Raw genomic sequence first — 22502 nt, 5'->3', positions numbered from 1 at the left:
GAACCCAATTTGTGAGGGGAGCTCAGATGGGCGGGCATGTCCCAGAGCCAGCGCGAGTCTGCGGGTCTTGCAGAGACTCTGGGTTTCCTGAGACCACCGGAGACGCACAGGCCCCGAGGACCGGAATGGGTTAACACCTGCCCTCCGGCCCCTGTTGACAACATAGATGGTTTGGGAACTCGAGATGAGGCCGTGGGGCGGGGGATACTGACACCCACTTACTCTCTCTGAGTTCAGGAGCATTTACCCAGCCTCTGTACGGCGCCCGGGGCTCGACTGGTGGGAGGGGTCCGGCAGAGGCCCCGCCTCGAGATCCCAGCACGCCCCGCCCCGCTCCACGGTGTAGCACAGACTCCGCGGAGAACGCGAGCATGGTCGGAAATCATCGCCTTTATTTCTTGGCGGGTCTCGAGGGAAGGTCGGGAACGGGCGGGTCCTGCTGGCCTAGAGGGCGTCAGGGGCAGCCACCGGCGGCTCGGGATCCTCCTCGTCGCGAGCGCGGGGGAGCTCAGGTCCGGCCTGCCGGGGGCTGGGTGAGGCTGCGGACCAGGTTCCTACGCTCCTCGCGTCCGCCCGCGTCTGCCCTAGGCCTCCACCGCGGCTTCCTCTGTCCCCGGGGCCGCCCTGCTCCCCACAGACCCCACTCTCGGGGGCCGCTCCCAGGACCCCCGCCCGCTCTCTCCTGACTCGGTCCCTGCCCGCCCCGCCTCCCTTCCTCGGGCTCCCTACCTCTCCCTCGCCGGCCCCGACCTCGGGGGCGCTCCGGACCTGCTCCCCGAATATCTCCAGCTCCGCCTTCAGCCTGCGGAGAAGGGGCCGAGGAGACAGGAGGAAGAGAGCGAGAGTCCAGGGGACGAGGAGGAAGCCACCGAGACGCGGAGACCCGACGACGCCGAGGGAGGCACAGGCCGGGGAAGCGGCAGTCGGGGGCGGAGCGGGGGACCTGGGCGGGTTCCCCTCCGCCCTGCCCCTGCCCTCCTCGCCCACTCCTCCCTTCCCCTCTCACCCGTCATTCACCGCCATGGCGCCCTCGACCTCAGGCGGCGAGTGCAGCCGCCGCTCCACCTCCCGCAGCTTGGCGCGCACCAGCCTCCCTGTCGGTGGGCGGGCGTCAGGGGCAGGGCCGAGGCCCGGGCACATCCCCCTCCCCCCGCCCACCTGGCGCGGGAGGCTCACTCTCCGAGAGCAGCTGCTCCTTGCTTCTCTCCAGGGCACGGATCTCCCGGGCCAGTCGCTGCTCCAGCATCTGCGAGGACAAAGAGGAGGCCTCCCCGTTTGGCCGTCCTCTTGGCTACACGGCCCGCCCCTCCCCTTTTGTGCTTCTCGCGAAGTCTTCACCTACATTAGGTCATTCATTCATTCAACTATTTATTAACTCAATGTGCAGTTCCTGCTGTGGCTGGAGACCCACCCACCTCCCCCTAAACGCTCTCCATGTCTCCAGGCACCTCTCAAACTTGAACTCTTCCCACTCTCCTCATCCTCCATTCCCCAATCTGCGGCTCCTCAACGGTTTCAGGCACCGTCCAGCCCCAGGGCCTTCCTTCTGCACCGATACCTGCACGGCTTCTTCCCTCACTTCCTTCACCTCTGCGTTGAGATGTCACTTGCTTAGAGGCCTTCCCACTGAAGTTCCACGATCTAGCCACTAACTTTCTTGGTGCCTCCACCGTCCCCAACCAGCTTGGGACAGCAAAGACGTGGACTCTTTGATCTGCTACCCTCCCTCCCTGCCTCAAATGCTGACCGGTGCAACCACTGACATTAGCTAAATGAAGGAATGACCTGACCATGGCTTTCCCTGGGCTGCCATTTGCCACTGCAAGGTGAACATACACTAGATGAGCAGGGGGAAAGCAGGATCACAATGGTACTGCACCCGTCTGGGCAGGTGATGCTGGGTGTGGCAGTGGGGCATGGTGAGGCGTAAGTTGATTTTAGATAAAAGCTGAGGGACTGAATAGGTGGGCAAGCGGAAGCAAGGAATCAAGGACTATCCCGCGGCATTGAGCCTGGGCAGGGGTGGACTCTGGGCCAGTCAGTGCGACACTAAAGCCAGGGAGGAGTGGCTTTGGTTGCAGGCAATGATAATGGCTCACGTGGAATTCCCAGAGGTCCTTGTGCTGGCCCATCAGATCCTCCAGCTGTCCTCTGACATCCAACCTGGAGGCCGACACCCAGGAATAAGAGAACACATGCTAGGCCTGACACCCTGTTGGGGGCTCCTCATGCACAGGCCTTCAGATCCTGCCCATGCTCCCTCTGCTGGGAGCCCCTTCATGGGTTTTATCCTCTAAGCTTTGGTTCCCGTAGCACCTCTTCCAACAAACTCTCCCTGATGCAAGCCCTGTTCCCACTTTCTACACAGTGGCCTGCCAGGCCCCAGGCTTGGGAGTTACCCCAGATTCCTCTGTTTGAGACTCTGAAACCTGAGAATTATGGGCAAAAATTTGTTCCATGCACTCTTGCAGCATGTGCTTCCTGGGAAGGGAAAGACAACCCTCAGTCATATTCTCTGAATGACCCATCATTCACTCCAGCAGGAGTGGGAGTTGGGATGTCTGTTCACAGCATTCACCTTTCTTGTTTCTCCTGTTGAATGAGAACCTTCATGGGCCTCTGTTGAGAACATTACCCTGTCCATCCTGTCCCCCATGGAATGAACTCTGCCTTCCCAAGAAAGCTTTGTGAGGCGTGTGGTAATTTGGCACCACAGATTCTATAACATCCTGGCTTGAACCCTAATCTGTTACTTCACCGAGACCCTGGCCAAGTTACTTAACCTCTCTGGGTCTCAGTTTCCTAATATGTAAAATGGTGGTAGTGATGGGAGGGTGACATTAGCCTTAACTCCTATAATTATCATTGTGAGGATTAGGTACATAAATGAGCATAAATGCTCATCATACAGTGTGAGTAGTGTGGTTGAGTATCACACATTAGCTAACATCAGGTTTCCCCATGCAATTAAAATCATGGTGCACCAGGATGAGAGACCTCTGGTAACAGGAGTGTGCTAGGTAAAAGTTCAGAAGATGTCGGGTGTGGTAGCTCACGCCTGTAATCCCAGCACTTTGGGAGGCCAAGGTGGGCAGGATCACCTAAGGTCGAGAGTTCGAGACCAGCCTGACCAACATGGAGAAACCCCATCTCTACTAAAAACACAAAATTAGCCGGGCATGGTGGCACATGCCTGTAATCTCAGCTACTCGGGAGGATGAAGAGATGGATGGATACAGGTTGGATAGACAGTTGACTGGATGTGTGAGTTGCTGGCTGGAGAAATGATAGCTGATTGGAGAAATGATGAGTAGAGGAATAGTGGCTGGACAGAGAAAGAAAGGATTGCTAAAAGGAAGGGTAGATGTCTGGATGGATGTTTGGCTAAGTGAATATATGATGGAAAGAATAAAGAGAGGATGAATGCATGATTGGATGGATGGAAGATTGTTAGGTGGAAGGCCGGAGATAAAACAGCCATCTGGCTGGATGACATGGTTGGATAGATGGATGAATGGATGAATGAGTGAGTAGGTGAATGGCTAGATGGGTGGATAGATGAATGGGTGGGCAAATGGATGACTGGGGCTTAAAATAAGGAGGCAAATAAGCAAGTGAATGGATATCAAAGGAGCTGGATAGCCAACAGAAAAAGACTGAGGCTAAGACCAATGGAGGGAATATATTTGATAAAGAAATTAGTAACGAATAATTAAATGAGTAAATTAATCTTAACACGACCATTTAATATCAGAGATAACCAAGGAAATCTTTTGTCAGGCTGCTCTATTTTATAGAAAGGTAAAATGAGGCTTCTGTGTCCAAGATTCATTTCCACAGCTCTTGCTCCCTCCTTTTTCAGCTGGGGAATGAGGTAGGGAAGAGCTGAGGCAGGGCCTCTTACCTCTGAGCCTCGCTTTCCTTCTCTTGGCAGTGCATCTGGAGGATCCTCAGTGCCTCTGTGGGGAAGGAACCAAGGGGACCCTTTGAGAGCTCTTGGGGAGTCAGGGTTGGCCAGAGGTAATAGGCCCCACATCATGTCAGGCATTGGAGGGCACTGTGAGGACTTGGGTGTTTACTCCAAGTGATGTAGCAATCCAGGAAGAGATCTGTGCAGAGAGGGAAGCACCCTGCCTTAGGTTTCAGTGGGATTCCTCTGGCTGCTCTGAGGAGCATAGACTTTTGTGGGGTGGAAGAGTAGAATAAGGAAGACACAGCAACTGGTAAATACCTTGCTTTTTGCCCAAGACCTCCTCTAGGTGCACTTTCTCTCCATTCACTGGAAAACACAATGACACTTTCTGCCTCCAGGCACCCCATTGCCATCCCCAGTGCAACTTCATATAAGGGGAAAGCCACACAGAAGGTGTAGTACAGCCCTAGGAGAGGTGAGGTATCTTCTTGCCACCCTTGCAACCATCTCCCAGAAGGACCATCCTGATCCAGCTTCTCCCCCTCTATGCCCACATTCTTTGTAAATGTTGAAGGAGTGAAGACCCTGAAGAATGTACAAGGTTTACACTGAGGAGAAAGATGGCTATAAAGAAATACACACACAGTGTCAGGTGGACATAAAGGCTCTTAAGAAACAAATCAGCCAGGGGCGTGAGAATGACCAAGAGAGGGCGGGATTCTATTCTTAGATGAGACCATCAAGATAGGCCTATCAGGGTGAAATTTGAGCTGAGAGCTGAAAGATGACATGAGACAGTGAAAGGCAATACAGATTATGTGAGCTAAGAGCATTGTAGGCCAGGGAGCAGCCTGTGCAAAGGCCCTGAGGTATGCACAGGAACATCTGCAGTGTTGATGGGTCCCTCTTTTGGCCCCACTTACAGGAGTCTAATTCCCTATGCAGGGCCTCCCAGAGACTGTGGGTCTCTCTCAGTTCCTCACTGGATTTCTTCTTTGCTGGGCCAAGAAGGGAAAAAGACACTGTATGAGTGTAGTCTCTAGCCTTGCTGTTCTCTCGCAAATATGACATTGCACAGTCATCTTCAAACAACCCTAGAGGGGCCTAGATTTTATAGATGAGGAGGTGGATTCATTATAAATCCAGTCACTTCCTGCTCGCCCCAGCTGGCCAGTCTAAGTCCCCAAGTTTACCTTGCTGAAGATCATTAATCCGGCTAATCAGGTCCTCTATCTGTGGCTCCAGGCTTCCCTCTGAAGAAAGAAAGGAAGAAAGAGTGAGCCAGAGAAGACTGGTGTCTGGCTGTCCAAGGCAGACGGAGAAGCACTGTGTCTGCTGCTATCAATTAACCGGCATATATTGAGCGCCTGCTGTGTGTTGAGCTCTGCCAGAGCCCCTTGAAGGGCTTGCATTCTGGGTTGGCAAGATGGACATTGAGCAAAGATAAATAAATCAATTCAGGTGGCAGTAACTGCTGTGAAGAGAAATAAAGTGAGGCAAAGTGTTGAAGAGCAAAAGGGTAAAAGGCATGTCTGGGGATATGCAAAGGCCCCAGATGAGAAGAAGGAAGCAGGTCCTGCAGTTCTGTGGGGGTAAAGAGTATGGAGGGGGGACCCATTCCAGGCAGAGTGCAACAAGGCAGAGGGAACAAGTGCAAATTCCCTGTAGTGTGGCAGGAGCGGGTGAGGCACGTGTCCAAAGTAACAGTGAGGGGCTGGTGTGGCTCAGGTCTAGTGAGCAAGTGGAGAGTAGCAGAAAGTAAGGTGGGGGAAGTGGGAAGTGATATCACTAGGGCCTCTTGGGCCACCGTGGAAGCCTTTAGATGTAACTCTGAGTGTGGTGTGAGCCAATGGAGACGTCCCATCTGCCCCGCCCTGTCAAAATCCAGGCAGGAAGGGTTGTCACTCTGTCAGTCTGGGCTCTGGTACTGGCCTCATCTGAGAAATGGGGAATCCCTGCTTTTACACTGTTGGTGGCAGCTTGCAAGTTTCCCAGTGACAGGGTGATCACTATCCCTTTAGGGAATCACCTCTAACTTCTCATAGCCCCTGTTTCAGTGCTCTGTACGCAGAAGACTTCCTTCTCATCCCTCTCTGGCTTCAAGGTTGCCAACACGGAACTGGGGCAAAAAGCTGTCCAACCCTTGCCAGATCTCACTGCTGACCCCTCAGACACTCTGGGGTTAATAAACTCAGACCATGGATTTTTCCAAGGTCACCAACTCCAGCTTCTGTGATTTCCAGGAGAGTGGGTGCTCTCCACGGTGCTGATTATGACTGACAGAAATCTCTGGGGGTCTTTGTTTTACTGGAAATGATCAGGTTGGATCACTGCATTTCTAGCCCTGCAATTTCTCTCCCTAATTTTACCGTAGGCAGCAGTCCCAGTGCACTTCTTCTGCAGGCAGCCACAGAATGGGAGCGGGGAGGCTGCTGCTTTTGTTTGGAATAGACTGACGTGATAGTATTTTAAGATGAGAATGGGCTGGGGGTCTCACCTCTGGCCAGCACTGCCTCAGCTCTGATGTAGATACTGGGTGCACACTGGCTCCCAGGTTTCCCGCAAAAAGCAAAGCAAGGTGCAAAACCAACTGCATTTCCATTTGTGTGTAAAAAGGGAGGACAAAAAATATACATCCATGAATGCATTTTTTAAAAATCTCTGGAAAGATACTTAAGAATTGAAAAACAATAGCTGCTTGCCCATGAGTCAGGGAAATAGATGACTGGTGTGTGGGGGGAGGGAGTAGGGATGGCGGGGGAACTGGTTTTTCCATTCCTTTAAACTTCTTGAATTTTGAACTGTGGGACTGTATTCTTGGTTCAAAGAATTAAACTGTATAAGAGGGAGAAAGTGCAATGGGATAATTTCCTGAGGTTGTGAGTTCAGGGGGCTGAATTTGTACCATGTCTTTCTGACTTGAAACCCCAGGCTGAGGCTCAGAAACAAAGAGACACATGACCTTTCTGCAGCTTTATCACCATTGCCAGCAAGTCTTCAGTCTTCAAAGACTTGGCTTGCCCTGTAGAAAGGAAAATCAAAATTACAGGACACAGCGAGAGTGAGAGGGGAGAGAGAAGGGAGGCAGGAAGTCCCAGTGGGCTCTGCAGACACCCGTGGGCTGGGGCTAAGGATGGAATGACAGACAGGTTTCCATCTGAAGCAGGGCCCCCGTCTCTTGCCCTTGAGGTTTATAGTGTGTGCTAGATAAATCAGGACCCCTAAGGGTCAGCTTCTCCCTGAGGGGTTAAAAAACACCACCACAAACATCCCCTTAATGAAACTCAGGGGTGAGAGAAGAGAATGCATGTTTGCTGATGCTGCTGTTCAAGATCATTATGAAGTTCTAACCAGAACAATAGGGCAGGAAGATTTCATATGAATTTCTTTGAAATAATAATAGCTCATAATTTATAAATTCTTAATGAACTGATAGATCTAGGTAATAGTTACTAATGGCTACTAACATCAAAAAAAGACAACTGGATATTATGAGCCTCTCTCTTTTTCTTTTTATACCCTGCAGCTCCAGCTCAAAGGATTTTTATTTTTATTTTTAATATAGAGAGTTTGTTTCAGCTAAGTTTGAGGACTGCAGCTCAGGATGCACTTACAAGCTGCCTTGGGGAGTGCTCCCTATGAGCCTCTAGATGAAGGAACACAACACGGCTGATGAAGGATTTTTGCCTCAAAAACCCCCACCAAAAACAAAAAAGCGGGATGGAATCTCATCAGGTCTCCACATCTAAATATGAATTCAGAGGAAATACAAAGGGCAGGAAAACACATTAAATGACACCACTGGGGATGTGCTCAACATCACGTGGACTGTGGGAAACTGCACAAGAAAACCTGGTTTCTTCCACAAATAAGTTGTAAAGAAGAAAATGAGGGAGAGAGAAAATCCTACAGATTAAAAAAGACTTGAGGCATATATCAATCAACTAAATATTTGAACCCTGATTCACCACACTTTTCACCATATATACTTCTATGTAAATATGTATGTATACATATATATATATATATTTACTTCTATGTATATTTTAACATGAGCCTGTGTTACTTCTAAAATTCAAAGAAGAAAAACCACAGGAAAATATTAACATAAAAAAATTCCTTAAGTCTTGAAATCAGTGGTAAAAGTCAAATCTCAGTGACCTACGCCTCTCTAAGGAAAACTGAAGAGAAGACGAAAGGCGGCTCACAAAACATGATAGCCAAAAAGTTAATGAAGAAATGCTTACCCACAATAGTATACAGTGAAAATTCCCTCTCCCTCAGATTTTAAGTTCTCCAATTCTCCTCCTCAGAGGCCACTAGCATTACAAGCTATGTGTAGGTACCTGGAGATAATTCAATGTATATACAAACATACCTCCCACATTATCTTTTTCTTTTCTTTTTTTTTTTTTTTTGAGATGGAGTCTCGCTTTGTCACCCAGGCTGGAGTGCAGTGGCACGATCTCAGCTCACTGCAACCTCTGCCTCCCAGGTTCAAGCGATTCTCCTGCCTCAGCCTCCTGAGTACCTGGGACTAAAGGCGCACGCCGCCTCACCTGGTTAATTTTTTGTATTTTAGTAGAGATGGGGTTTTACTGTGTTCCCCAGGCTGGTCTCGAACTCCTGAGCTCATGCAACCCTCCCGCCTCAGCCTCCCAAAGTGCTAGGATTACAGGTGTGAGCCACCGCAGCCGGCCACATCCCACATTTTCTATGTAAGTGGTAGCATGTTGTACATGATGCACCCCATCTTGTATTTTTCATTTGACAATGTACACCAGTGATCTTTTTATTCTTTTTAGTGGCTGCATGGCATTCCACTGTGTGGATATACCGTAATTTCAAAGCAATATCCTATTGATGATATTTAAGCTGTTTACCTTATTTTGCTGTTACAAGGCATGCCACAATGATCATCTACATTTGTGTTGTCAGGCTGCCATAACAAAGTACCACAAACTGGGTCTTCCCTGTCTGTGTCTTCACCTGCCACTCTCATATCTTTATGTGTCTATATTTCCCTCTACTTATAAGGACACCAGCCATTGAATTATGGCCCTCCCTAATCCAGTGTGACCTCATCTTAACTAATCATAACTGCAAAGACCCTACTTCCAAATAAGTCACATTTCTGAAGTTCTGGTGGACATGAATTTTGGAGGGACACAATTTAACCTAGTACACCATCCTTGTACATTATTCTTTGTGCTTGCATTAGACTGTATCTACTGGGTACACATAGAGTACTACCTAGACGCTACCTGGTGGACCAAAGGGAATGTATATTATGGAATTTGGCTGATAGGAAATTGCCTTTCACCTGTCTCAGGCCCCAAAATCATACTCTTACCAGGCAAGTATGTTTTTAATCTTTTTCTTTTTTTTTTTGCCAACTGGACAGGCAAAAACTGTTTCATTTCAAACTTTCTGATGAATAAGTACCAAAACCTTATTCATTTCCTCTTGATCAGAAATTCCACTCCTAGGAATGTGTCTTAAGGACATAATTAATAATGGTGGGCGAGATGTTGTTTCACTGCTTATAATTTTAAACTTGGAAGTAACGGCCGGGTGCAGTGGCTCACGCCTGTAATCCCAGCACTTTGGGAGGCCGACGAGGGTGGATCATCTGAGGTCAGGAGTTCGAGACCAGCTTGGCCAACGTGGCAAAACCCCAACTCTACTAAAAATACAAAAATTAGCCGGACATGTTGATGCACGCCTGTAATCCCAGCTACTTGGGAGGCTGAGGCAGGAGAATCACTAGAACCCGGGAGATGGAGGTTGCGGTGAGCCGAGATGGCACCATTGCACTCCAGCCTGGGCAACAAGAGCAAAAAACTACATCTCAAAAAAAAAAAAAAAAAGGAAGTAACTTGAAGATACCTTAGGGGATTACTTACAGCATGTTTGCAGGCTGAAATTCTTTGCAGCCATTAAAATCCATGTTGTAAATCAGGGTTTTTTAACCTGAGCTTATTAGATTTTTTTTTGAAATATTTGGTGGTATGTTCACCTTCTTTATATCTTTTTTTTTTGGCCTGAAATCCTTTATAAATTAGTATGTATTATTTTAATTTGCATTTTAATTTTTAAATTACATAATAAACACATGTAGAATAACTTACATGATAAACAAATGTGGAAGAATAAAATAAAAAGGAAAAGTCTCCCCTCACCAGCAGCCCCTTCTCCAAGTCACTCCTTTTCCCAGAAGTAACCACTGCCAGCAGTTCGGTGACAACACTTGGTCTTTTAGTAAAATACATTTCACGTATTGCTTTAATTTTTACTTTCTTATTCGAGTAAAATTCTAAGAAAATTCAAACAAAGAAATACGTGATGTAAAAAATGAAATTTTCTCTTCTCTCCTTAATCCTAAATCTCACTGCTTCCCCTGATACAATCACTTTGAACAAGTTGGCATGTCCCTGCCTGAGATTTTTTTAATTTTAAAAATATTCTTAATATTTTGGAAATAAGACAAAAAAGTAAAGCTACTTTAATAACAAGGGGAGGTGTTTGTGATTATTTTATTTTTAATACCTTATTATGAGAATTTTCAAATGCACATGAGAGTAGAGAGGATATTATGATTAACTCTGATATGCTCATTGCCTAGATCTGACAATCATTAATATTCACCCTATTTATTTCAGCTATGTTTTTCCTGGGTTGAATTATTTTTAAGCAAGCCCCCGGCTTCTTGACATTTTATTCCCAGAAACTTCATTAGGAGTCTCAACTACTTAAGGACATTTTCTTAGCTGACCCCAATCCTATAATCACAACTGACAAGATTAATACTCATCAGGTAACATCTCCTAATACCCAGGCTATACATTAATTTCCCAATTGTCTCCACATCTTTTTTATGGCTGGCATTTGCAACCATTTCTGCAGAAGCTCCATCTGTGTTTTTCCTCTCTCTGCTTTCTAGTGCTAGTCATGAAATAAGGCCAAGAGTGGGTAATAAATAAATCTTTTAAATAATCCAACTAACATTTTGACACACACACACAAAGTCCATTACAAAAGAAAATGGCCAGCACAGTAAGAGCACCCTTTTAAACATTTTATTTTGAAACAATTGCAGATGTACACAAAAGTTGTAAAAATAGGCCACAGTGCTCCCATTTTGTCCTTATATCAGATTTCCCATTTGTGAGTGATTCTGAACAATAAGTTGCAGACATCTTGACCCACTACTCCTTACTATTCCAGTGTCTATTTCCTATATACAAAGGGAATCTACCAGGTAACCATAGTACAACAATCAAAACCTGGATGTTAATACTGATCCAATATGAATATAGGATCCTCAGGTGCCATTCAACATTTTGCCTCTTCTCCTTTATATTTTAAAATTATATATGACTACTTACATTTTTCTAGAAGAAAAAATAGAACAATAAATCACAAAAATGCCTCTACCTCTGCACTACTCCCAAAATCCAAATTCCTTGTCCAGAGTTATCACTTAGGCCTTTATCATTCAGATACTTTTTCTGTGCAACATACACAGGGCTATACCCCCCTCCATTTTTGTTTCAATCCCAACTGGCTTGTCTCTAATAAAAATACGATCTCTTTTGGAGCTCCTTGTGTGTCAATAATAATCCTATCAACTTATAATTTAATTTTAATACATTTAAATTAGAACTTATAATTTAATACATTTAAATTAGAATTTTTTTCTGCCTCTTAAAAAGAAATCCACCACAGAGACACTCCACAGCATGCACACATAAACCTAGACTTAGCAATTTCTGTGACTACTTCTTGTGTTGTGCCTACATCAACACTCCAGTGACCATTCCTGGTCCATACACTTACGTATTCTCCTTTGATTACATCGCATGGTCACTGCCGAAGTGGAAGAGCATTTTAGATGCTAAAAATACTCTGCCGACTGCCTCTAGCAAAGCCTTTACTTTGAGTCAGCTCTCTTCCCTGAGGCAGGAAAAGGCCTGTTTCTCTACAAGGTCGTCAATACCAGATACTATGCTTCCCTTTATAAAGCCGATTTGATGGGCTAGAAATGGCAACTTGATACATCCTTCAATTTTTCCTTTGCTGGTGAAGTTAGTCATAACTTTAATTTTGAGGAATTTGAAAGGTTGATACTAAAATTTTTTTTTTAATTGCAGTGGCAGCTGCATTACACAGTTAATAAATGAGATCTATTTGCATCTGTCTTATTTCCGTCTGTCTTTTGTTGAATGCTGGCACTTAGTATGTGCCTCTAATCTAAAAGAGCTCTCTGCTCTTGAAGTTATTTCATTGGTCACACATTAAAAAATTACTGAGCACTTACTTTACACCAAGCAGGCATTGTTTTAGGTGCAGGGGAGCGAGAGGTAAACAGTCTCTGTTCTCATGGAGCTCACATCCTAGGTCAGGCAATAAGCAATAATCATTACTTTGATGTCTGTATGGGTAGGTCTGGCAGGATGCAGTCTAATGTGTTTGTTAATACAGTGGTTTAAAGAGTGTGCAGAAAGGGGTGTTCGAGATAGATAAAAGTGGGGCAGAAAGGTGACAACAGTTAAAGCATACTGATAGGTACACATGGGCTTTGTTTAAAGCTATTTTCTCTACGTTGGTACACTTTGAATATTTCTATAACAAAAAAATGCTAGTGGCATACAAATGCATGACTGCCTTGGGAGATTTTTTTCTTTTTGTTTTTTCTTTTTTTTTTTTTTTTTTTGCTCACTCTGTCTTCCGCGCTGGAGTGCAGTGGCGCAATGTCAGCTCACGATAACCTCTGCCTCCCGGGTTCAAGCAATTCCCCTGCCTCAGCCTCCCCAGTAGCTGGGACTACAGGCGCCCGCCACCACACCCGGACAATTTTTGTATTTTTAGTAGAGACGAGGTTTCGCCATGCTGGCCAGGCTGGTCTCAAACTCCTGACCTCAGGTGACCCACCCGCCTCGGCCTTCCAAAGTGCTGGGATTACAGGCATAAGCCACCAAGCCCGGCCAAGGGAGAATTTTTTTTCTTTTGAGACGGAGTCTCACTCTGTCACCCAGGCTGGAGTGCAGTGACATGATCTCGGCTCACTGCAACCTCCGCCTCTCGGGTTCAAGTGATTCTCCTGCCTCAGCTTCCTGAGTAGCTGCGATTACAGGCCCACACCACCGCGCCCGGCTGATTAGTGTGTGTATATATATATATATATACACATATATATATATATACACATATACATATATATATATATACACACACATACATACATACATATAAATACACATACACACATATGTATATGTATATATAGTTTTTTAGTAGAGATGGTGTTTCACCATGTTGGTCAGGCTGGCCTCGAACTCCTAACCTCGTGATCCGCCCGCCTCGGCCTCCCAAAGTGCTGGGATTACAGGCGTGAGCCTCCGTGCCCGGCCTGAGATTTTTTTTTCTTTTGGATGGAATACAATTTCCAATAGTGTCTAGGCCGACACCCCTCCACCCTCCTTTGCCTGTCATTCAAGTCAATACCCTGGAGAAAAGAGGCTGTGGGGGAGGCCATGTTCGATTAGGAGGTTTAAGAGTCCATCAAAGTGTCATATGTGTTAGGTGTGAAATGGCGACACTGGGAATTACTGTTAATAAGGGGTGGCTGCAGCACGGTGATTGTTATGAGAACATCCCCACCGCCCCACTTTTGTTTGAAGACTTTCGTACTGAACTACATGTTGTTTACTTTCAACAACGTATACACTACAGTTGACAAAAGTTAATCTCGGTGATAAGAATATGCCTGTTAATTTATCTCCACTGTGCTGAACGGTTAAAAAATTGTTTTTCTTCAATAACAAAAGGCTTAACATTTTATTTAAAAAAATTAGAATATCATTATTTCATTATTGTAATGGGACGAATCCTCCCTCCTTTCTGCCCTGGTTGGAGAGAAAGGAGTGCAGCCCACTTGCCCTCACTACCTTCAGCCTCCTCAGTAGCTTCTGGCGCCTCCACATTCAGAGGTTTCAGCTTCCCCGCCATTTTCCAACGCGGGGCCTGCGCGCGAGCCTCGCTTGATGACTGGTTAAAAAAGAAACCACGTGAGGGTGAAAGGCTTTTCAGCACGCATGCGTGCAACCCGCGGTTACGCCAGCGGTTAAATCAGGAGTCAGCTCTGGGCAGGCGCAGAACACACTGCGGCCCTGATTGCCAGCACACATGCTACAACCTTGAGGCTGTAACTCCACAAACAAGGGCAGAACTAGGGTAATGGCCAGTTGGGGAGTGAGGGTAGTGTGCACACACACAAAACCCTAGGGAGGTCTCTCCTGCTTTAGGCTGCTTGTCTTGTGCAGGTTGTCAAAGTCTGGGACAGACGTGCATGTGCTATGTGGTGGTACACAATAGTTCGAGTCTGTTTTCGTTTACAAATCCTCATCAAAGAGTTCATGAGAGAGGGTTACTTATCTCTGTTTCACAGATGAGTAAAACGAGGCTTAGAGGCTAAGTGCATCTCCTATGTAAAAATGCTGGATTTCAGCCACTGTGTGCAGTCAGGTGCTGTGTCCTGGGTTCCACAGGTGGACACTGAAGGCCACCTTCTCATTAATGTTAGCAGCAGCCAGCATTGAGGGCGGGTCATTTCTGGCAGGGTAAAGATGAAAAAAGTACAAGAAGGGCAAAGGAATATCCTTGTGGGTCTTACTTTTAGGCCTTTTATGTAGTTTTTTTCTTTAAAATACCCTCAGGCCAGTCCCAAGCATAGCCTGGCCCTGAAGTGCCAATTCCAGCACCCCCGTGGGCCACCCTAGACACCTTGGCCAGATCTGGACACTCAGGGCTGAGATTCAACTAGGAGGCAGACCACGGAAGCAAGTTTGGAGGGGACAGTCCCTGACAGAGGCTAGAGCATCATCCAAGTGGAGGAGATGAGACAGAGGGAAGGGAGAGGGAGGCCTAAGGATTTCCCCAGAGGGGGAGGTGCATGACTGGGCAGGGAAAGCAGCCTGCTCGCCTGGCGGCTGCCACCATCTCTCTCATCGGTGGGCCCTCAGACCTTGCCCCATTGCTTAGGGAGACAATGACTGGCCACAGACACACCCCCACACACATTTCCAGGGTAGACAGAAGGTAAAAAACAAAGGTGGTTGCTCCCAGCACTGCCTGGTCTGGGAGCTCCAACTATCAGAGTCCAGTGAACAAGCCATTATGGGCAGCTTGGTCCGTAGAGGTGGCTGGTGGTGTGGAGTACTTGGGTGGGTAACGAATGAAGAGCCGGTCCTCCTCTTTCTTCACCCAGCGCAGGAGTTTGGTCACTACCAAGATTGCACCTGCCTTGGTCACCAGAGGGCTGAGGCAGGTATAGAGCTCGAATTTGGAGGTCACCTGGGGGTTTCGGAGGAGACAGAGTCAGATGGGCCAGAGCTGGCTATGGACAATCCTGCCTACCCCAGTGCAGCTGCATGTCTGCCTCCTGCAACCTGGAACATGTACCTGGCAGCACCTCCTACCAGGTGCTGCCTAGATACTGGGCTAAGGTAGGTAAGCTGATATTGTGCAATTTCAGCTGGACCTAGTGACTTCAACTGGATGATGCTGGTTGTGTGTGTGGGTACTCTCTAGACCTGTTTGCTCATTGGGAACTGGGGAAAACAGTAACAATGTTTAATATTCTGTCAGTAACCTATTGTGTACAAGGTCCTGCTCTAAGCTCCTACAACTATGTTTTCATCATCTACAGCCAGGGAATAATATAAAGAGGAACTCAATTTATGCCTCATACCACATGGAGAGGCCTGACCCCACAAGGTCACTAGCGCCTTTCCTGTGCCACCTCCCAGAGCGCTCCCCTTCACTCCCTCTGCTCCGGCCACTCTACCCTTTCCTTGCTATTCCTCAAACATAGCCAGGCTTGGTTCCACCTCATAGCATATCAGTCCTTTCCCTCTGCCAGGTGTACTCTTCCTCCTAATATCCACGTAGCTCAATACCTCCCTACTCCACTCAGATGCCATCTGCTCAGGGAGGCCACCCTGATCACTTGGTTTAAAATTCTGCTCCTAACATATATTTTGTTTGTTTTTGTTTTTTTGTTTTTGACGTAGAGTCTTACTCTGTTACCCAGGCTGGAGTGCAGTGGCACGGTCTCGGCTCACTGCAACCTCCGCCTGCCAGGTTCAAGCGATTCTCCTGCCTCAGCCTCCCGAGTAGCTGGGATACAAGCGCATGCCACCACATCCAGCTAATTTTTTGTATTTTTAGTAGAGATGGGGTTCCACCCTGTTGGCCAGGCTGGTCTCGAACTCCTGACCTTGTGACTCGCCGCCCACTCCCCCCAACTCCCACCCCGACTCAGCCTCCCAAAGTGCTGGGATTATAGGCGTGAGGCACCGTGTCTGGCCCATATCTTGGTTTTAAAATTCCAATCTCTACTAAAAGGTATAAGGGCTCCATGGAAAAATGGCTGAGTTGAGGACTGGAATAGAGAAAGTCAAGTAAGATGTGCTCACATAGTGAAGGGGACGTGTCAGAGACACAGGGATCAGCCTGGCTAAATCAGGGTACCCACCGGCTAAATCAGAGGCAATCTGAACACCAAAATAAATGCTAGAGAAGGATTTTAGCTCACTGAATTAAAGAAAAATCCATGAGACAATATTGATAGAAAATTAAAAATTCAATAAATAGGAGAAGGAAAAGTTATTCCTTTTTGTTTTTGAAATGGAGTCTTACTCTGTCGCCCAGGCTGGAGTGCAGTGGCGCGATCTTGGCTCACGGCAACCTCCACCTCCCAGGTTCAAGCGATTCTCCTGCCTCAGCCTTATGAATAGCTGGGACTACAGGTGCGCACCACCACGCCCAGCTAATTTTTGTATTTTTAGTAGAGACGGGGTTTTGCCATGTTTGCCAGGCTGGTCTCGAACTCCTGACCTCAAGTGATCAGCCTGCCTCAGCCTCCCAAAGTGCTGGGATTACAGGCGTGAGCCATCACGTCCGGCCCCATGTTACTCTTTATAGTAAAATCCCAGCCAATAAATGTAGAAAGAATGATGGAGTTAGGAAAACCACCATCTGACCAGGCGTGGTTTTCACCACGCCCTTTATAACTCTTTATAAATATAAATATAAAAACTCTTTATATTGTTTTTGCAGCTTCTAAGTCTAAAGTTATTTGAAAATGAAAGTTAAAAAAATTTAAAAACAAAATTCTTAGCCTAGGACAATACCTGATCCACAGCAGTCACGCAATAAATTAATAAATATGCATTACATGGCAGGTGCCATTTCTGATGAGGCCTCCTTCACTGGCCTCCCTTAGTAGCTGACCTTTAGCAAACCCATAGGAAGTGAGGGCTGGAGCCCAGAGGAGACCAAAGGGAAGGATACCCCAGGTGGAGGGCACAGCAAGGGACCACGCCTGTAGTCTGAGGAGTGCTGGGGACTCATGGAGTCACAATGAGCTGGTGATGAATGGGGTGCCTCCAAACACATGGATTGGGCTACTGGGGAATCGGCAGGCACAGCAGTGGTAGTTAATGGGGCCTCTGGAAAGTCAAAGACACTGTCCTGGTTGCTAATCTGGGAGAAGCACACAGGAGGGTGAGGCTAATGTCGGATTAGAGACACGGTCATTAGTTGTCAGGGGCTTCAAAGATGTGTGTGTAAAGGCAGGGACAGTGTTGCAGGCAAGGCACAGCCCAGCCAGAGGCCTGCTGTGTTTGGTGGAGGCACTGTGGCTGGAGGGGATACAATATAGGGAAAGGAGGCTTGAAGTGGGGAATTAATTCACTCAGAGCCCTGCCCAACTTACCCAGGCCAGTAGTGTCTCCTTCTCAGCCACGTGGTAAATGAGGCGCAGGGGTCGGGAGGTGCTGTGGAGACGAGCATGCAGGCGGTGGTACAGGTCCGACAGCCGCTGCCGCTCCTCCTCTCTGCTGTAGGGGGCCTCTAGCTCAGGGCTGCCATGATGGAGGGAGGTGGAGGACAAGGTTAGTCCAGGGCCTTCTTGGCTGGCCCATTTCCTCCCTCAGTCTAGAGATTTCAATGAAGTTAGGGAGCTGAGCCTCTCCCATGAGACTTGAGGATTCTCAGGGGTTGGAGGCTGACCTTCCCTCATCAAACTAGGAGATTCCCTGAGTACTAGGGCCCTGCTGTCCACCAGAAGAGGGGGATTCCTTTAGGTCTGTGGCTGATGCTCCATCATCAGACAGAGACTTGTTCTCTTCCCTCTTTCTTAAGCATGGCTGGTTATCTCTCCTGAGTCACATCCCTGAGATGCTGAACTTCCTGGTTTGACAGGCCTTCCCACCCAGCCAGTTGCCTTAGGGTCAGGGCCTACCTGGTAAACTGGGGCAGTTGGCGGTGGTGGTCAGGGATGTCCAGCGGCTTATACAGGAAGTGCCGGAGGCCCGGCGCCCCGACAGCCTGCACGCTGTAGGCAGGAGCACTGGCTGATGAGGCATTAGAGAAGCTGGCAGCCTCCCCAAGGGCACGCATGGCACCAAGGGCATGCATCCCATCTTCAACCAGGCGCCGGCAGGCGGCCATGGCATGGAAGGCTTCACGTTGGGTGCCAAGCAGCAGCAGGCAGACAGGCATAGCATCCAGGCGGGCCACGTAGGCGTAGAAAAAACCATCAGGGTTGAAGCGGGGCAGGCACACAGGTGCCCAAGCCTCACCCGCCGCAAAGGCTGGTGCACCCACCCAGTCGAGCAGCAACTGCAGGTCAGCTGGGTCCAGCCGGCACTCGGCCAGCACATTTCGCTCCTGGGCTGCTGTTATAAGTCGACCGCCTACTGCCAGCACTGACAGCGCCAGGCCAGGCGCTGTGCAACGTCGGAGGAGCGCACCTAGTGCGTCTCGCAGCGGGCGGGCAAGGGGCACACAGCGCACGGCACCCAGGAGCAGGGCTCCTGGGTCCTGCTCCATACTGTCCAGAAGTCGGTCCAGTGTGCGCTCTGAACCAGCCAGCAGGCGGCGGAGGTCATAGTTCTGCTTGTGTGCGAAGATGCGGGCGACACTTGCACGTGTAAGTGTGCTCACGATCTGTGCGTGCACAGCTAGCAGCTCCCCCCGCAGCTGGGCTGCTGACTGAGAAGTCCGTGACATGGCCACGAGCAACAGTGGGCCCTGTTGTAGGAACACCAGCTTGTGGTCCTCTAGGGAAGGAAGGGGTAAGAAGGGGGGGTACAGCTGGATCAGGAATGACCAGAGGGAGACAGTGGGGCTCTTCTGCCCTCTCCTACCATACACACACCAGGCCCGAGTCCACATGCTCACTCTGTGGGCACCTGGACTGGGGTAAGGACAAGCTGGAGGAATCTGGACATTTGCAGAGACATGATGGGATGGACAAAGGAACAAGTAGGTTAGATACACAGCAAAGACCACGGGCAGGCGGGTAGAGATGGTACAAGGGCTGACACAGAGCCAGAAAGACACAGCTCAACCACACAGCCCCCACAGTTATCCTCTCAGGTGACACAGAAGTATCCAGCTAGTCACTGAGATCCCAGCAAGTCAATCACTAAGAAACCAGCAGGCCAGACAGAGATGAACCCCCCCACCTCCCGCCACTGACAGAGCTCTGGCTGACCATCCACACACATGGACCCAACCCTGGCTGGCTGGATAGTGCCTGAGGCAGACAGACCTACCCGTGCCAGCCATATTCCCAGTCACTGTCCCCCATTCTGCCTCCCACCTGTTTGCTCACCAGCGTAGATGGCACGGATGGCATCTCCCGCACTCTGCACAAAGGACACCAGGGCGGTCATTACACCCATGGTAGCCGACAGCGCCTCCACACTACCATACCGCGAGTAGATGGGCTTGCCAGCCTCACTCAGCACAAACACATGCTTCCGCTGGCTGCGCCACTCCTCATCACTGGGGTCCCCGCCCTGGCCTCCAGAGCTACTCTCAGGGCTACATGTGGGACTATTCTCAGGGGCTGCAGGACTCCAGAGCCGAGAGGTGCTTGACAGGGCCTCTGACTGGGGCGGTGGTGATGGGCTGGGTGGCTGGTCCTTGTCCTTGGATCCTGAAAGGGAGCCCCTGGTGGGTCATCTGCATGTGAACTCCTAACTAATCCCACATCCCCAAGGACCCACCAAATATCTACTAGCCCCTCCATGACCCCTGCATGCTGACGCAGAACTCCAAGTGTCTCCTATGCCCCTCAATGACCCGATGACTGCCCTAGGACCCCGCAATGATCTCCACTAACATTTAGGTTCCAATGAACTTCCTAAAACCCTAATAAACCAACATATTCTCATTGTTATTCCACTGGACTTGCTATGTTCCTACAGACCAATTACTTCCCTTTCAATCACTGTTATTCCAAAGTCTTCAAAGCACCCCATTGACTCTGGATGACGATTATTCATCTTCAATGATCCCCCATTAACTCCTCTGACCGCTATTTTTTCTCCTGATATCTGCTCACCCAATGGCCACCATTAACATCTATTAATATCTTAACTGTTTGAATGCCCCAACCCCCGCTACTACCCTATCAGTGATGCCCACTGATACCTGATGACCCCTACTAACTCTCCTGGTTGCCCATTTATATTCTTGGTAATGTCCACTATTTCTCCCAATGACTGTCGTTAATATCCACTAACACCCAGATATTTAGGACTCCCCTAATCCACTATTCACTCCCACTGTGGTTCACAAACACCCCAATGACCCCACATTAACAATCATTAACACCTGGTTTTTCAATGACCCTCCATGACTGCCCTGATCCACAAGTTATTCTACTCCATGTCTACTCCCCCCTACCCCCAACAATGACCATCATTAACCTCCACTAACACCCAGCACTTCAGAGACCTTCAGTCACTCCCCTGACCACCTTCAATCTCATTGGTATCCACTCCCCTCCCTACAGTAACCATCATAATATCCACTAACACACAAGACTTTAATGACTTCCATTGCCCCTACCCATGACCATCATTAACATTCACTAAAACCCACAACTTCAACAGCCCCTACTGACACATCCATTTATTCCCATTGATTTCCATTCATCCCCCAATGACAACCATTATTATCCATGTGCAACTATGTCTCAATAATTTTCCCATAAAATCCCAATAATTGCATATTCTGTCACTGACATTCACTGACACTCCCATGTCCCCAAATATCTTTACTCCCTCCTAATAACTGCTCTTACCTGCTATTAATTCCCAAGTCCTCAACCTCCCCATCCACATTTATTCTCAGTGAGGTCCACTGATCCTTCCCAATGACTCCATTTACATCCACTAATTCCAAAGTGATCAATGGCACAGACTTCTCAGTGACTTCCATTAAATCTCAAATGAACAACTTTACACATCCACTAACATTTGGTCCCTTAAAGACTTCCCCAACAGTCTACAAGTGACTTCAATGATGTAAATACTCTGAGTGCCCATCGAACTCCACTGATTCCCCTTCCCACTTCTATTATTTAATAAATAACACCCTACTCCTCAAAAACACTAACTTCTCAACAGTCCTCCTCTGTTGAGTCTATTGACTTTCTTCAGCGCATTCTTTGATCTAAACACTCTAAATCCTCAGTGACCCTCTTTGGTCCTAACAGCCCCCTTTTTGATTCCTCAATGACCTAAACTCACACCAAACCCCCAGTGAACATCCGTTGACAGCCAATGACTTCCTCAATGATGTAAACTACACCATGTGTCCACAGTGACCTCCTCCTGACCCGGCGATGGTTTAAGCCACTTCTCTTAAGTCCCAAGACTCCCTACTGGTCACCCACTGACCCTTCCCCCGTCCAACAATGACAACCCCTAAGGATTCCTTTTAAGACCCCACTAAGTGGAGTCATACCTGTTTCCTCCAGGCCCTCGTCTTCGGGATCCGGCGGGACCGCGTGAACCCCTCCACCTTCTCTAGCTTCCTCACTGGGGAACTGCGTGTCCTCCAAGTCCTCCGCGCCCCCGGGGGCCGGGGCAGCAGTGTCTCCTCCGACCTCCATCTGCACATCCCTGAGTGGGAGGGGAATCGAGGGTGACGGGCGGTGAAAGAAACTTCTGAAAAGCCTTTATAGAGTCAGGCCCCCTTGGACACACTCCTACTGCTCATTTCCCCACGGATTTCAATAGGACGAGACATCCAAAATCATGCCCAAATACGTCCCCCCTCCAACACTTTCCGAAAAGAGGAGACTCTACTGGGCCTCAGGAAATAGAGATATACAAACACCTGTTTTAACTCCGAATCTCAATTGGCCGGATACCATTACTTCCCCGTAGCGGCGGTGGCATCACACTTCCGGGTGCGGCCCGGGAGGTGCCACACTTCCGGGTACGACCCCTCCCAGAAGACACTTCCGGTTGCGGAGCTTTATTGGCTCCTCGCGGCGTCCCTCTCCCGCCGCCTACGGGTGTCCCCTCATAGTTGAGATGGCGCGGGCCACTTCGGATCTACGTCAGGTCTGTTCGGGAGCGCAATGAGACCTCTCTGCACTCCTTTCAACGGATCTGGCTACGGCTGCTAACCCGGGAGAGCGAGGCCCACTTCGCTTACCAGTGGTTGGCGTGAGGGGGGACGCGGCTCGCTCTAGCCAATCCCGGAGTACATAGGGCGC

The 22502-nt window shown here is 48.5% G+C and overlaps 2 protein-coding genes and 1 long non-coding RNA gene across 6 annotated transcripts, besides 10 other annotated features; 1 reads left to right on the top strand and 2 right to left on the bottom strand.

The window, feature by feature from the left end:
- SYCE1L (synaptonemal complex central element protein 1 like) lies at positions 161-13968 on the bottom strand. 2 transcript variants are annotated; one of them, NM_001129979.3, is made up of 11 exons: positions 13864-13968; positions 6876-6935; positions 5107-5166; positions 4837-4911; positions 4232-4279; positions 3905-3959; positions 2100-2163; positions 1177-1246; positions 1007-1094; positions 730-802; positions 161-519 (listed from the first exon to the last, which is right to left on the bottom strand). In NM_001129979.3, exons 1-11 carry the CDS (start codon positions 13922-13924, stop codon positions 445-447), a joined length of 729 nt encoding a protein of 242 aa, NP_001123451.1. In that variant the 5' UTR covers positions 13925-13968; the 3' UTR covers positions 161-444. The 2 variants fall into 2 exon arrangements, with proteins under 2 accessions (NP_001123451.1, NP_001335853.1); NM_001348924.2 differs by lacking the exons at positions 4232-4279; positions 4837-4911.
- Positions 165-1138: an enhancer, noted in NCBI's record as "H3K27ac-H3K4me1 hESC enhancer chr16:77246135-77247108 (GRCh37/hg19 assembly coordinates)". NCBI's record gives its function as "activates a minimal SCP1, AML or CMV promoter by ChIP-STARR-seq in primed H9 embryonic stem cells {active_cell/tissue: H9 hESC(primed)}" and the evidence as "EXISTENCE:reporter gene assay evidence [ECO:0000049][PMID:30033119]".
- Positions 165-1245: a biological region, named in NCBI's record as "H3K27ac-H3K4me1 hESC enhancer GRCh37_chr16:77246135-77247108".
- Positions 216-265: a silencer, noted in NCBI's record as "silent region_7733". NCBI's record gives its function as "represses an Ori minimal core promoter by ATAC-STARR-seq in GM12878 lymphoblastoid cells {active_cell/tissue: GM12878}" and the evidence as "EXISTENCE:reporter gene assay evidence [ECO:0000049][PMID:35858748]".
- Positions 296-385: a silencer, noted in NCBI's record as "silent region_7732". NCBI's record gives its function as "represses an Ori minimal core promoter by ATAC-STARR-seq in GM12878 lymphoblastoid cells {active_cell/tissue: GM12878}" and the evidence as "EXISTENCE:reporter gene assay evidence [ECO:0000049][PMID:35858748]".
- Positions 496-825: a silencer, noted in NCBI's record as "silent region_7731". NCBI's record gives its function as "represses an Ori minimal core promoter by ATAC-STARR-seq in GM12878 lymphoblastoid cells {active_cell/tissue: GM12878}" and the evidence as "EXISTENCE:reporter gene assay evidence [ECO:0000049][PMID:35858748]".
- Positions 886-1245: a silencer, noted in NCBI's record as "silent region_7730". NCBI's record gives its function as "represses an Ori minimal core promoter by ATAC-STARR-seq in GM12878 lymphoblastoid cells {active_cell/tissue: GM12878}" and the evidence as "EXISTENCE:reporter gene assay evidence [ECO:0000049][PMID:35858748]".
- On the top strand, positions 1245-1789 carry LOC124903726 (uncharacterized). The gene is made up of 2 exons (XR_007065121.1): positions 1245-1347; positions 1445-1789. It is a non-coding gene; the product is annotated as an uncharacterized LOC124903726 (long non-coding RNA).
- Positions 10978-22186, bottom strand: MON1B (MON1 vesicular trafficking associated B). Of its 3 annotated transcripts, NM_014940.4 has the most exons (6): positions 22118-22186; positions 21743-21900; positions 19599-19925; positions 18222-19041; positions 17694-17841; positions 10978-15268 (listed from the first exon to the last, which is right to left on the bottom strand). In NM_014940.4, the coding sequence occupies exons 2-6, from the start codon at positions 21888-21890 to the stop codon at positions 15068-15070; spliced, it is 1644 nt and encodes a 547-aa protein (NP_055755.1). In that variant the 5' UTR covers positions 21891-21900; positions 22118-22186; the 3' UTR covers positions 10978-15067. The 3 variants fall into 3 exon arrangements, with proteins under 3 accessions (NP_055755.1, NP_001273568.1, NP_001273569.1); NM_001286639.2 differs by lacking the exon at positions 19599-19925; NM_001286640.2 differs by lacking the exons at positions 19599-19925; positions 21743-21900.
- Positions 16147-16316: an enhancer, noted in NCBI's record as "experimental_45171 CRE fragment used in MPRA reporter constructs". NCBI's record gives its function as "activates a minimal promoter by MPRAs in K562 erythroleukemia cells, with activity observed for the non-introgressed 16:77231042 variant allele {active_cell/tissue: K562}" and the evidence as "EXISTENCE:reporter gene assay evidence [ECO:0000049][PMID:34662402]".
- Positions 21520-22468: an enhancer, noted in NCBI's record as "H3K27ac hESC enhancer chr16:77224805-77225753 (GRCh37/hg19 assembly coordinates)". NCBI's record gives its function as "activates a minimal SCP1, AML or CMV promoter by ChIP-STARR-seq in naive and primed H9 embryonic stem cells {active_cell/tissue: H9 hESC(naive and primed)}" and the evidence as "EXISTENCE:reporter gene assay evidence [ECO:0000049][PMID:30033119]".
- Positions 22035-22084: an enhancer, noted in NCBI's record as "active region_11150". NCBI's record gives its function as "activates an Ori minimal core promoter by ATAC-STARR-seq in GM12878 lymphoblastoid cells {active_cell/tissue: GM12878}" and the evidence as "EXISTENCE:reporter gene assay evidence [ECO:0000049][PMID:35858748]".
- Positions 22105-22394: an enhancer, noted in NCBI's record as "active region_11149". NCBI's record gives its function as "activates an Ori minimal core promoter by ATAC-STARR-seq in GM12878 lymphoblastoid cells {active_cell/tissue: GM12878}" and the evidence as "EXISTENCE:reporter gene assay evidence [ECO:0000049][PMID:35858748]".

The sequence above is a fragment of the Homo sapiens genome, chromosome 16, assembly GCF_000001405.40.
Source record: "Homo sapiens chromosome 16, GRCh38.p14 Primary Assembly".
NCBI classification, from domain to species: Eukaryota; Metazoa; Chordata; class Mammalia; order Primates; family Hominidae; genus Homo; species Homo sapiens.
This window is presented reverse-complemented; position numbering and strand designations above follow the sequence as displayed.